Source organism: Homo sapiens, chromosome 9 (genome assembly GCF_000001405.40).
Source record: "Homo sapiens chromosome 9, GRCh38.p14 Primary Assembly".
NCBI lineage: Eukaryota > Metazoa > Chordata > Mammalia > Primates > Hominidae > Homo > Homo sapiens.
The window spans coordinates 39,182,883-39,197,488 of record NC_000009.12 but is presented as its reverse complement, the minus strand read 5'-3'; the positions used below and the strand labels follow the sequence as shown (position 1 = coordinate 39,197,488).

General features: G+C 38.2%; 1 protein-coding gene and 1 pseudogene across 2 annotated transcripts in view; one reads left to right on the top strand and one right to left on the bottom strand.

Moving 5' to 3' along the window:
• The window catches only part of CNTNAP3 (contactin associated protein family member 3), a 223,458-nt gene that overhangs the window by 90,679 nt on the left and 118,173 nt on the right, over positions 1–14,606 (top strand). For both annotated transcript variants that reach the window (NM_001393379.1, NM_033655.5), the window contains exon 4: positions 4,214–4,361. In NM_001393379.1, the coding sequence (NP_001380308.1) occupies positions 4,214–4,361 (148 nt within the window). The remainder of the gene's footprint in view (positions 1–4,213; positions 4,362–14,606) is intronic.
• RN7SL640P (RNA, 7SL, cytoplasmic 640, pseudogene) lies at positions 6,129–6,389 on the bottom strand (annotated as a pseudogene).

The following is a 14,606-nucleotide window of genomic DNA, read 5'->3' as shown; positions in this document are numbered from 1 at the left end:
ACACACAGACAGCTTAAAATAATAACAGCATATTAAAATAAGAATCTCTCGTAGTACATTTAAGTGTTTGGGAAACTAATAATAAACTGAAGCTGCTGAAGAATCTGTTTCTTTTAGACAGGCTTTTCTAACATCTTTGTGAGGACTAACTGAATTGATGTGTGAAATTGCATAGGACAGTGGTGGCCCTATGCATAGTAGAGATTTAATGTTTATTTTAAAATTCAGAGACTCATTTCAGTATCTCGTAATTTAAAATAAAGATTTGATGATAAAAACCCACTAAAACAGAAATGACAAAATGACAAATTTGGAAAAATAACAAATTTCTAACAGTCTTCTTAAAAATAGTTGTTGATGAGTCTTACCTTGACAGATTTTTTTCTGCTTATGGCTGTCAATCTGGGTATTTCATACTCAACCACAACTATCCATGCGCTTAACATTTTGCAGACCAGGATATCACATGAGCACCATCACTGACTGTGACTGTTAGATTTAACTAATGTGACCGCTAAAAATCAAAGTAGAGTGTTGGAAATTTTTCAGTAATGTCATTAATTCCTAAATTATTTATGAAACATATTTCCAGCATGTGAGTGGACTCCAAGCCGCAGATTTCACTCACTTTCATGTATACCTAAGGAACATGTTATGGAAACTGATCATTTTATCTGAAAATACTCATTTTTGATTACTTAATATAATACTTAGCTAGAATGCCCTCAAAGACAGAGAATCCACATCAAACTTAAGTGACTGTCTTTCAATAAGATGGAGCTTTTATACATGAACACACCACACACACAAATTGCAGAGGAATGCTGTAAAAAATAAATGATTTATAATCTTACAAATACATTATATATATTAACTAGTTTAATTCTTACCAAGATTGCCAGATAGATACAATTTTTCTACTTTACAAAGAAAGATGATGATTTCTCCCAAGGTCACATGCCTGCTAAGACAGAAAAGAATTTGAAGGACTATGGCTTCCGAAAACTATTCTGTATACCCTCACTCTCCACAGAGCTGTAACTTTTGCTATTTATGTCTAAAATGAAGACGTAAGCCTCTGCAGAATTGTTGAAGGCTGCATATTTCTATAAAAGCTGGCTTATCCTTCTAGAAGGTTCGTTTTTCCACCTTAATAAAACAAAGCAGGAATAGGTCTTTGTGTTCGCCATTCTTTCTGTCCGTAGTGGTCATGTGCTCACGTATGAACTCATGTCTGCTCTGCAAGCTCTCGAAGCAAACTTTGAATATAATAAATAAGAAACTACACTGCATATTTTTAAGACACACATTATTTTACTGTTATAGATAAGGTTATTTCAATAATAAGCCCTGAATGTTATGACAGTGAAATGCTAGTATAAATCTTTCCTGCCCAAAATGTATTCTCTTTAATTTCTATATCTTTAAAGAACAATGGTTCATTTGGTTGGTATCCCATGAAGCTGGTTATAATTCTATATAAGACAATAATGTGATTTCTGAAATTTCAAATGAATTAATGTGATTATATATATAAACTTTTAAATATATTTTAGTCATATGTAATAAATGTTTGATTTTTTATTGATATCTCTGAAGTTGCAAAGAGTATGTTTCTCATCTGCCTTATTCACAAACTATTAGGTAATGTCTATTTAAAGTTTCTTAAATGTTAATCTATTTAATTAAGCAAAAATTGACATTAAGTTTTATTTTGCTACATGATCCTATTATCACATCACTCAGAAGTATATTTTCCAGAGTTTACACTTTGAAACAAATTGAGAAAGAAGTAACATTTGGCAGATAAAGGTGAAAAAATTCTGTTTTGGTAGGGTTCCTTTGAAAGGTTTTTATTGTATTGTTTTTGCTGAGGTTTACAAAGTTTATTCAGCTACAGAAAAATATGATTTTAATTCTGCAACTGAATTTTAACATTGGAGTCAAAATGCTCATAGGATCTGATGTTCTTGTATTAGCTTGGCTGTATGTCTTAGATATTAAACCCAAATTAGAACCAAAATAAAAGGATGGATCAACCATCTCTACCAACCATGCCAACAATGACCAACCTGGGTCACAATCACAGCAGCCACCTCCACGCAGGTGGTGGGCTGATTGATTTCCAGGTGTTATCTCAATTAGTACTCTGGCCCTTCAAGATCAGTTTCACAGATGGAGAAACTGCAGCTTGCAGCAGAGAGTAGCAGGGTTTGAGGTGGTGGAGCTGGGATATGGCTTCTTTTATATAGGTCAGCCTGGGCTGTCCAGACAGAAGGTTGTGAGTGCAGAGGTTGTGCAAATATTTACCTGAAGTTGGTATAGCGATTGTTAACTCAAAAAATGTCGATGTACATGACCCTTTAGTTGGAACAAGAGTGAAATGATTATCTCTGGCTGGGCATGGTGGCTTAATGACTGTAATCCTAGCATTTTGGGAGGCCCAGGTGGGCAAATTACTTGAGGCTGGGAGTTCGAAACCAGCCTGGCCAACATGGCAAAACCCCGTCTCTACTAAAAATACAAAAATTAGCCAGGTGTGGTGGCATGCTTCTGGAATGCCAGCTACTGGGCAGGCTGAGGCAGGAGAATTGCTTAAATCTGGGAGGCAGAGGTTGTAGTGAGTCTAGATCGCACCACTGCATTCCGGCCTGGAAGACAAAGTGAGACCCTGTCTCAGAAAAAAAAAAAAAAAAAAAAAAAAAAAGGTGAAATGATTATCTTGGAATTGGCACGAATTAACAATAGACGAACTGTTACCAAGTCTGAGCATCAACACTAGCATTTAAAATTGACCACATTCACTAAGGCATTTCCTATATTTTTATTTCCATGTGTTTATACCCAGGGACACCCATTGGTGGTTGGGTATGAGGCAGGCTGATCTTTATTCTCTTTGTTTTGTTGTTAAGCCTGGTACATTCTTTTTTTTTTTTTTTTTTTTTTGTGATGGAGTCTACCTCTGTCGCCCAGGCTGGAGTGCAGTGGCACGATCTTGGCTCACTGCAAGCTCCACCTCCCGGGTTTACACCATTCTCCTGCCTCAGCCTCCTGAGTAGCTGGGACTACAGGGGCCCACCACCATGCCCGGCTAATTTTTTTGTATTTTTAGTAGAGACGGGGTTTCACCGTGTTAGCCAGGATGATCTCGATCTCCTGACCTCGTGATCTGTCCAACTTGGCCTCCCAAAGTGCTGGGATTACAGGCGTGAGCCAACGCGCTGGCCCTAAGCCTGGTACATTCTTTAGTAAAGCAAAATAATTAGGCAGGAAACATTCTTCATTCTTGGTTGAACTAACTGCTGGCCTGTTCCATACATAGATATTAACTATGTGCCCCAGTCATGTTAGGTGATAGCACTTCTAGTGCAAAATAGCATTAACCCTTTCCTTGTTCTCACACATGCCATATTCTTAAAAATCTGAGAACAATGAAAAAAATATCTAAAACAACTTTGTTTGCTTTGCACTCTGATCCTTCCCAATGTTCAGATAGCAAGATGGAGTGAAGAGTGAAAGCCCCTTTGCCTTGGAGCAGATAGTGGCAGTGTGCTCCTCTTGACACCCCCAGGAAACAGGCCACAGGTGCATGGAGCTGTGTTCACTGTGAAGTGGATTCAGCCTGATAACATGGAATCAATGATGCCATTGAAATCAAAGCCAGATGTAATCCTGCCCACACTCTATGATAGCTGTCCTACCTCCAGAGTGTCCTTTCTTCTTCCTAGACTGTAGTTTTTCATTTATAAATTAAGGGTGTGGGGCTGGAATCATGTCTAGGTCCCTTCCAACTCTCTAATTGCAGATTCCAGGATTCTCACTGCAGATCCTTTGCCTGTTACCGTGGTGCTTGATTGCCCTGCCATGTGATGTGGCTTTTTGTGAGCATCTTTACCACTTGATTAGGGAGGAATCTGTGGGATAGCATTTTAGAAAAGTGAACTTCATAGAGGTTGCCATGTTTATAGTCATTTTAATGATGTGGATGAAATTTAAACTACCTTGTAAATAAAGAAAACTTAGACAATGGTGACGAATTCAGGGACTGGAGAGGTTGTCACATCCTTGTTAACCATTAGCAGTGTTTCCTTTAAAACAGCAGCTTTTTGCATATTAGCAAAGCGAGCATACATTGCTCATTGCCATGAGAGGTGACGACATGAAGATGGTGTGTCCTGCAGATACATTGATCCCTTTCTCTGTTTTCTCCTAGGGTTTTCCAGGAAACACAAACGCAGACAGTGTGGTGCACTACAGACTCCAGCCTCCCTTTGAAGCCAGGTTCCTGCGCTTTCTCCCTTTAGCCTGGAACCCTAGGGGCAGGATTGGGATGCGGATCGAAGTGTACGGATGTGCATATAGTAAGTGGCCTTTATTCCCTGTGTGAAATCAAGGTCAGCATGAGATTCTGTCAAAGCCAAACTGTAAAAGCCAATGTCGGCATGAAATGTTGAACTTGACTTTTTCTGTCTTTTTATATAGCTGGGCAAGCAGAACTGGTTTTTATGGAAACACTCTAGTGTCTCCCCATGACAATATGGACTTTAGTTACTGTCTTTTATAGTTGAATTTAGTGGTGGACCTGAACTGAAACTTACCTGTCTTTAGATTCCCAGAGTTTAGCAAAGTACTTGCAATATGGTAGGCATCTGATGAAACGAATACAATTCAAACTAACAACAGATGATGCTGTTTTTTTGAAGCTGAGATGATACGCTGTCTGGGAAAACAGGAGCGGTACTGGGGGCAGGGTGTGATTTCTCGCAATCTCTTGGTTCTCTGTGTTTTTCTCTGCTAACGTCCTCTTTTGCACACTGTGCTGTCGCTTCACTTGATCTTCACTTGGTGGGAACCTGTGTTTAGTCAGCCTCTTTTCTCACCTATTCTTTGTTATAAAAGTGGAAAGGATGGGGCCGACATGAATATAACACAAACAAAAAGCCGGCCGTGAAATTATTTGGTGGTACTCAGTGACACAGTTGCCACTTGATGATCTAGAACATACTTGTATTCTTTCTTTACATTATCATAAAAATGTTTTAAATTATTGTCAAAATGGAATAAAATTGAAAAATACTCCTGTATAAAACTGGAGAACAGGTCAAAGAGCAGCCTGGATGGAAATGTCTTAAGCAGCTTCAATTTGGGTCCGGCCGGATGTTCATATCACACTATTTACACACAGTCACTCCCATTCTCTGCCTACTCACAGCTTTAGCCCTGCAGAATATTAATTTTCTAAAGCATGATAACAACGTCTGTCATTCATACAGCATTTAATATCTCAGATACTATTATTTCCATTTTATTACTTAACTCCTGTACAACCCAGTTCATTTCCTAACTCTGCTTGTTTTTTAGTGTTTACATTTCTACAGGGCTAAATATAATGATGTTGCTTTACCAACAGTCTTTTTTCTTCCTGTTATTGTTCATCTCCTTCCATCCCTGTGTTTTCTGGGACCTATAACTGTGCTCTCTGTTTCAATGGCTAAGATGTCTGATATTTGGAATCTCTCTTTGATGCTGTGAAGTTACCTTCTCCTCTCATTACTCTGAAACAACTTCAGGTTTACTGACTTCAAAGTGGAACATGCTCTTTGATGGCGATTTGCCATTAGCTTGATGTTCCTTCATGAAGAGATATTACTCCAGTTCCTTGGGCTGGAGGTTGGTACCAGGAAGATCAAAGCCCCGTGCCTGATTCCAGGAAGGGCCGGTGAGCGGTGCAGCTGCCATGCAATCTGCTGGCACCGTTAACTTCTGTAAACACATGCTGTTGGCTGTAAGGGACTACTAGTAAAAAAACCCAAACATGCAGACAGATAATATGTGACCACTGCTAACTAGCTAAAAGTAATTCTTTAGAACAAGTGGACATCTACATTGTCTTTTTTTCCTTAGAAGAATAATTGTTCAAGTATGGTGATTTTATTTTTGTTGTTGACAGTAATACAATCCTTTATGACTTATGTTAATAATGGTAGTTTCAGTATTTTCCTTTGTATTTCCACTGCCCTGCTTGTTTTCTAGAACGTTGCTTATAATGACTTATAATATCCCTGCCACGCAGCATCTCTTCCCATTTATTTATTTATGTATTTATCAATTTATCTTTTTTTATTTTAAGAGGCAAGTTCTCATTATGTTGCCCAGGCTGGAGTGCAGTGGCTACAGGCACAATCCCACTGCTGATCAGCACGGGAGTCTTGACCTGCTTCATTTGGGAGCAGGGCTAGTTCACTCTTCCTTAAGCAACCTGATGGTCCTCCGCTCGGAGAGATCACCATTTGATGCTAAAATTTGTTCAGACACCTGATCATCATAGTGCACCCCTGGGCTCCATCGATCCTCTACCTCAGCCTCCTGAGTAGCTGGGACTGCCCAGCCCTAGTGTTACTAGCTTTTCTACACTTCATTTACAGTAATAGATTCATTATTCCTTTAAACTGTGTGTGTTTTCACAGACTCCTGGCTTACTCTATTTATTTCTATTTCCACTTCTAGCCTGGGGATAGGTTGTAGGTTCTCCCAGAGTTGCTGCTCAACTGCAGAATAAAGCCATGAGCACAGATGGCCTCGGGCCCTTCTTGACAGCTGTATTCTCCTGGTTTTCCATGCACCTTTGCATGCTACTCTTCTTGCCACTCCTTAAAGGCTAGCATTATCCACAGATTGGTTCTAGGTCTTTTATCCTGCTCCCAAGCTCTCTCTGAGCCTTTTATCCACTTCCATGAGTTTTCAGTAGCATTTACACACTGTGGCTGATAACTTCCAAATACGTATCCGCAACCTACTCTGAGGAGTTCCAACCTCTGGTACCAACCTCTCTTCACTGGCCCTGTGAGCACTTAAAACTCAGTTGTCTATCTGCTCATTTTCCTTTGTTTTCCATCTTATAAAACGATACCAACAGCCACCTATTGACTGAAACCTGATTCTATCTCCTAAATGTTTTGAATTTCTTTCTCTCCCTCCAGTTTAGCCTAAATGAGCACCAGCCTCCTAAATCAGCTATTTGTCTCTGGTCTTGATCTTTCCAGTTTTTAGTCCACACAATAATCAGGATGATTCCTGGAAAAACATGCACATTCGATTGTTCAAACTCGATTGTTGAGACATGCTTAAAGCTACGCCCAAGACACTAGGATTGTTTCCCAGAGGCCTTAGACAGAAAAATAAATTCCCTATGCTCTACTGCCTGTCCAGGCCTTCGAGGGCATCTCTCAAGAACAAAGGGGAACTCCCAGAATCTTAGGCCAGAACCCTATGGGTCCTTGACGCATCTATCTCTCTTGCCCTCCATGTCCAGTGAGTCACGAAATTCTGTATTCTTCCCTCCAAATTACACCTTGCATGATTTCAGCTCTCTTTAGCTCTACTACCGACTTAATCTAAACTTGGTGTCCCACAAATTATGGAAATTGCCTTCCAAGTTTAGGTCATTCTGTCTCTGTTCATAGCTGACTACATTATATTCTCCACACTGCAACTCAAGTTACCTTTTAAAAATGCAGAACTGATACAATTACGTCCCTGTTTAATACCATCAGTGGCTTTCCATTGTTCCTAAAATAACATCCAGACTCCCAGCAAGGCCTGAAGGAGCTTGTCCCTGAATAACTCTCCAGTGCCACCTCTTGCTGCCGTCACCTGCTACCTGTCCACTGTCAATTGTGTCCGGCTTTTTACTGACTCAAAGCCTTTACGCCTGCGGTCTCCCCTGCTTGAAATGCTCCTTCCCCATGTTCTCAACTGGCTATTTACTCTTCCTCTTTTCGATCTCAGTTTAAATGATGCTTCCTAGGCCCTCACTCTACATTTGTTTCCTCATTATAAGTTCCCAGGAAGCCTATAGTATGACTTCATGTGCTATAGTCACTTTTTATAGTGTATCTGTATCTGTCTTATTAGAGGCCTAGTTTCCTTTTTCCTCATTAGACTTCAGGCTACACTAGGGTAAGGTACATTCATTGCTGTAACATCAGCACCTAATACAGAGCCAGGAACATACTAAGTGCACCATAGCTTTGCATTGAGTGAATGAATGAATGAAGCAATTCAGAAAAAAAGTCTGACAGATGATAATAAAATCTGAATAATGAATCTAAATTTCAGATTATTTCTCTCTTATACTAGCCATCCAGGTAAGGCAGGTATCTTGGAGATTATATTGTTATAAAGTATAGTATTAAAAATTGTAATAACTCTAGTAAAAATAGCAAATATAAGATTTTACAGTTATGTTTCCATTCTTCCATCTGATACTTGATGCATCTTTATGTAGTAGAAAGGCAGTTATTAACACCCAGATGTTCCAAGTACGCAATCTGAGAAGCCACACCAAGGGCCGGCAGTGCAGGAGCTACAAATAGTCACCAGAGACAGGGAGAGGACTCCAGTCCTCTGACTACCAATTCCATGTTCTTGATGGATAATAACTGCCGAGGTTTCATAAAGGATCATTATATTGATACTTGTTTTGATATATTGCTATATTGATTGATGGCGGCAGCTTCTTTTCTACTTTCAGAGAGACAGCATCAAGCTGCATTGTATTGTATATAAACATTTAGTTTTTGATTCTGTGCCTTCCTCCTTTTTATCATGCCAGCTTTAATTATCCTCAATTTCAGAGTTCTTTAAATCACTCCACTTTCTTTGATATTAATGCAAAAAATAGAACAGTCCTCTTCTTGTTGTTTTCTCAAGTGGTTAGTATCCTTTCCATCTCTTTAATTCCCAGTCCGCTAGTGCAGATTTTAAGGGCTTACATTCCACTCCATGCTAGTGTTTTAGTATTTTCATTAGATAACACTCAAACATGGCTTTTGTCTGGTTCATGTTTCTGTTAAACTGAGATTGGGCTTCTATTCCTTTGTAAGTCACGGGCAATAATTCATGAAGGAAAAAGAAAATGGTTAGTATTCAAGGTTGACTTCATAAATAACCAAGAAGAGCTTGGTTCGCCACTTTTTTGGTCCCTTAATGGTGGAAAATTTGGTGGGGGAGGGGGTCTGGGAGTGGTGGATTCTTCTTTAAAATTTTAATACTTGGAGCACAGCCCAGATAATTAACAGAATTCTAAAATGTTCTTTTCACGAAGATTTCTTTTATAATGTCCCAAGTGAAAATCATTTTTTATTACTCACAGGTAATTCTTTATTCATGCATTTTCTGTTACATTTTCTTATAACTTAGTCTTCAAATAGTTTTATATGTCATTCAGACTCTGTCTTACATAGCTATGCTATTACCAATCAGTCCTTTTCTTATTCATCATTCTAGCTTCACTTATAATTGGTTGAACCATATATTTGCCAGTTTTGTAGATCAAATACAGTTGAATATTAGCAGCTTCATCTGGATTAACTGAGTGCTGTACTGTTTTCCGTAGGAACAACAGACGGCAAGTGGAGGTTTCCGGTAAAACAAAACAAATAGAACAAATAGTGACTGGACAAAAGCAAATTTTATTTTCTCCCTTCCAAAATTTTACCTGTCCTTGATTAGAATTTGAGACATGGGAAATTTTCATAACTCCTGAGATGGTCCAAGTTTGTATTTCTTCATTGGTGTTCTAATGAAGTTAGAACTACCTACCTCTGTAAAGTTCCTTTAATTGTTTTATCACTTTTATATATACACGCTGTGCTAGTTTGCATCACTGGCACCAATTCTGCACCTGTTCCTTGCCAGTGCCTGTGAGTGGTGTATGCTTCCCTGCCCCCTGATTTTTGAGCCAGCCAGTGACTTCCTTTGGCTAATGGTAGGCAGAGTCAACTCTACAGTGTACCTACTGTCCTCCTTTGTGTCTACCATTAATAAGCATGCCTGAAATATGAATTCCAGTAAAATGAAAAGAGATACATGCTTTACATATTTTGAAGCTGTTTCATTAAATGCATATAGATTGGGAATTGTTTTATCTTCCTTAAAGTTGATTTTTTGTAATTATGAAATATCCTTGTTTATTTCTAATAATGCCTCCTGCCTGTAAGTCTGCATTCTCTGATGATAGTACTGTATAGCTATGCCAGATTTCTTCTGGTTAGTGTTTTCATGGAATAACTTTTTCCATTCTTTACTTTCAAACTTTTTGTCTTCATATGTAAGGACTCTTTCTTTATTATTTAAACCAAATCTGGAAATCATTGAGTTTTAGTTGGTATATTTAGTCCACTTATATTAAATGTAATTACTGACATATGTGAAATTGTAGCTGACATGTTACTCTCTGTTTTATATTTGGTTCACTTGTTTTATACTCCTTTTTCTCTCCTCTTCTTTTGGGTTAATCAAGTTTAATTTTTCCAGTTTTTCCACTATTGTTTGCTGTTCTAATTTTGTTCTCCTAGGTACTTGAGCTACTACTTTTATCACTTTCCAAACAATACTAGGATTTAAGTACAACTTATGTTAGTTTAGTTAAACTCCTCCCACCATGTGTGCTATGTTGACACATTTTAGTTTCATACATACATGTGTATATGTGTACATATATTTTAATCACAAAATTTAATATAATTTTTTTTGCAATCAGTATTCACTTGAATTTACTCACATATTTACTTTCTCTGCATTTTCATGCTCTTTCTGAATCAAATTCTTTCAGCTAGAAAGACTCCTTTTAATATTTGTCTTAGCCCAGTTCTACTGGTAATAAATTGTCATATAGCTTTTGTTTGCCTGAAAATTGTCTTTATTTTATATGAACTTCTGAAGGCTGTTTCAGCTTGCTGGAGAATACGGTCTGTAGTTATTTTCTTTCGGCCTTTTAAAGATGGCATTCTATTGTTTTCATGATGTTTATTAAGAAATCAATAGGTAATTGATTTTTATCCTATAAGGGAAATGTGTATTTTTCTTCTGGTTACTTTTGAGAATTTATTATTTGTCTTTGATTTTCAGCAGTTTTGCCTTGATGTGGCTATTTTAGTTTTCATTGAATTTGTCCTCTTTGGATTTCACTAAATTTCTTTTTTCTATGCAGTGATTATTAGATTGGGTAATTCTTCACTGTTACTTCTTCAAAATATTGCTTCTGTCTCGCATTTCCTTTCCTCCTTTCTGAGACTCCAATTACATCTGTCTGAGATGTTTGTATCTTATTTTCTTTCTTTGTCTCTCTCTTTCTCCCTCCTCCTGCTTCTCTCTCTCCCTCTCCTCTTTCATCTTTTCTTTCTATTTATGCTGCAGTCTAGACATTGTGTACTGCTTTATCTTCTATACTACTAATCAGATCTTCTGCTGTGACCAATCTGTTGTTGAATATGCCAGTGAGCTATTAATTTTAGTTACTGTGATTTTCAGTTTGGGAATTTCTGTTCATGTATCCTAGTGAAACTCCTTATCTTGCTGCCTATTTTCCTGGAAATATTAATTACAGTTATTTTAAAGATTTTTCGTTAACTTCAATATCTGGATTATCTCTTGATCTTTTCCATTGTCTGGTTTTTGTTTCCGTTTTGATGTCTGATAATTTTGGCTGAATTCTGGACATGTTGGACAGAAATTTGTAGAGGCTAGAGAAGACAAAGTGATCCCCCAGCGAATCCCCACCACAGCCTCTGTTAGGCTTCTAGATTAGGCACAGATGTTAATTCAAATAAGCATTTAACTGACTCAGTGCAGCGTCTCAGTCCCCATGAGGCCTAGTTGATATCTTATATCTGGAGTACAATGCTTCACTAGTCCCAACTGAGATTTGAAGGCCTTTGCCAAAACATTTTTTTGAAAATCTCTGAATTCTGCCATCTGACTCCTAATTATGATGAGTCTACAGAGACCCCTGCTTCGTGACCCAGCCTCATAGCTGTCCTGTCACTTTCTGCTTGGCCACCTTGTCTCTTGCCCATTGCTCCTTGGGAGTTGACCAGTGCTTCAAGGGTAGAAGCAGAAAGAGTGTTCTGAGCTTGTCTTCTAAGATCTTTACATTCTTGAGTCCTGGCAGTCGTAGTAGATCTTTAAAACTTTCAAGAAGATTATTTAAACTTTACTTGGTACACATTTTCTACTTGTCCTTGGTAGGAAGTGTAGTCTTCTGAATGTTTGCTTGTCATAACTGAAAATATAACTAACTGCATTTCTTTTAATGCCATGGGAAATGTGTTGAAGAAAACAAAGTGTATATAATTTTTTCATATAATAATGTGTTTATAATACAATCTACTTAATATTTTGGAAAATTATTTTTCTGTAAAACACTGAAGTGCTAATTAAATTTCAACAAATTTTTTTAAAAATAAATAAAGCTGGTCACAGTGGCTCATGCCTGTAATCCCAGGACTTTAGGAGGCCAAGGCAGGCAGATTACTTGATTGCCCAGCCTGGGCAACACAGCAAAACTCCATCTCTACAAAAAATACAAAAATTATCTGGACATGGTGGTGTGTGCCTGTGGTCCCAGCTACTCAGTGGGCTGAGGTGTGAGGATTGCTTGATCCCAGTGAGGTCAAGGCTGCAGTGAGCCAAGATCATGCCACTGCACTCCAGCCTGCGTGGCAGAGTGAGACCCTGTCTCAAAAAAAAAAAAAATTTGTCATAAAAAAGTAAAATAAATAGAAACTCAAAATAAGATGAAAAAGTAAATCCCTGTCCATCAGAAATAAGTAAGTTGAAGAATTGGAATGTGAACCTACTCACAGAGGATTCCAGACTCTGTGCAATCAACTATCTTTACCAGGAAATGGGAGAAGGAGAAAAGAGAGAGGAAAGAAAAGAAATAGAGAGGAAAGATCATGCATGAAAATTAAAGAGAGAGATCAAGGCCTTTACTGAGAATGCAGAACCAAGGCCTGTTTTCCCTAAGTTCCTCTTATTATGCCCAGAAGGAAAGAAAATATGTGAGTGAATAAAGGCAAATATTTCCTAGGAAAGCTTTGTGTATTCATCGATTGCAGGATTCAATATTCTTATCATCCTCCCCGAATTGATCTACAGAATCCCAATACATCTATTCTAACTTATTATTATATTAAAATGAATCATCACTAGTCTTTAGAGAAATAAAATCACAATGAGAAACCACTATACACCTAGCAGAAAGGCTAAAATTAAAAAGGGTGGAAACACCAAGTGTTTGGCAAAGATATGGAATTCTTATACATTGCTGGTGGGAAATGTGAAAATGATACTATCACTTTGGAAAACAATTTGGCATTCTTCTAAGCTAAATATACACTTAATATATAGCTCAGCAATTCCACTCCCATGTATTTACCCAGCAGAAATGAATGCATATGTCAACATAAAGATGTATGTGTGAATGTGCCTAGCAGCTTTATTTATAATAGTTTAAACCTGGAAACAGTTCAAATGTCTATCAGCAGGTAAATGGATAAACAAGTTGTCAAACAGTTGAATACCCCAAGCAATAAGAAAGAACAGACTGTTGATATATGCAACAGCATGCGTGTATTTCAAAAACGTTACACTTAAGAAGGAACGCAGACACAAAAGAACACATACACGATACAATTTTATGAAATTTTGGAACTGACAAAACTAATCTGTAGTTACGGAATGTAGATCATTGGTTTCCTGGGTCTGGGTCTGGGTGACAGTGTTGGGGGTTTGATGCAAATGGCAATTAGTGAGTTGATATGAAATTGCCTACACCTTGATTTTTTGGCAATAAGGTAGGTATATATATTTATTAAAACTCATTGAACTATAACCTTAAATTTATTGAATATAAATTATAACTCTATGAAAATGATATTCATGTTTCCATATTGGAATTGTGGGTTTTGTTGTTGTTTTTTTGAGAGAGAGTCTCTCTCTGTTGCCCAGGCTGGAGTGCAGTGGAGCAATCCTGGCTCACTGCAACCTCTGCCTCCTGGGTTCAAGCTATTCTCCCACCTCAGCCTCCTGAGTAGCTGAGATCACAGGCATGCACCACTACACCCAGCTGATTTTTTGGTATTTTTAGTAGAAATTTTACCATGTTGCCCAGGCTGGTCTTGAACTCCTGACCTCAAATGATCCACCTGCCTTTGCCTCCTAAAGTGCTAGGATTACAGTGTGAGCCCCTGTGCCTCACCCCATATTGGAATTAACATTCAATTTATTTAGAGAGTAAACCTCTGTAATCTGCCCATTATCCCTGATAAATCATCCTGAAGCCTTCGTGTCATCACAGCTACCTAGTTAGCTTATTAAATATGCAAACCCCTGGGTCTCAACCACAGAAATCCTGATTCCTGGTCTGGTTGAGGCTCACGTTCTAAAGTCTCCAAGTGATCACTCCTAGTCAATCTGAGTGAAGGTGGTTGATAGAACACTTTAAGAAAATTTCTGTGGAATCGTGTTTTTTTTTTTCTTCTGTAAGACATCAGTGTTTGCACCCTATGGAATCTTGCTGTTTTCAAGCAATGTTGATGTTTCCTCTGAAAAGGCAGTACAAGGTAGGATGGGGATGAGACATGCCTGTGCTTAGAATGACAGTGAGAAGCAGAAAAGTAGTAATGAGAAGCCAGAGTTAAGAGTACATTCTGGGTGTGAAAAATGTGAAAGTAGGCCAGGCGGGGTGGCTTATGCCTGTAATCTCAGCACTTTGTGAAGCTGAGGCGGGCAGATTGCTTGAGCCCAGGAATTCAAGACCA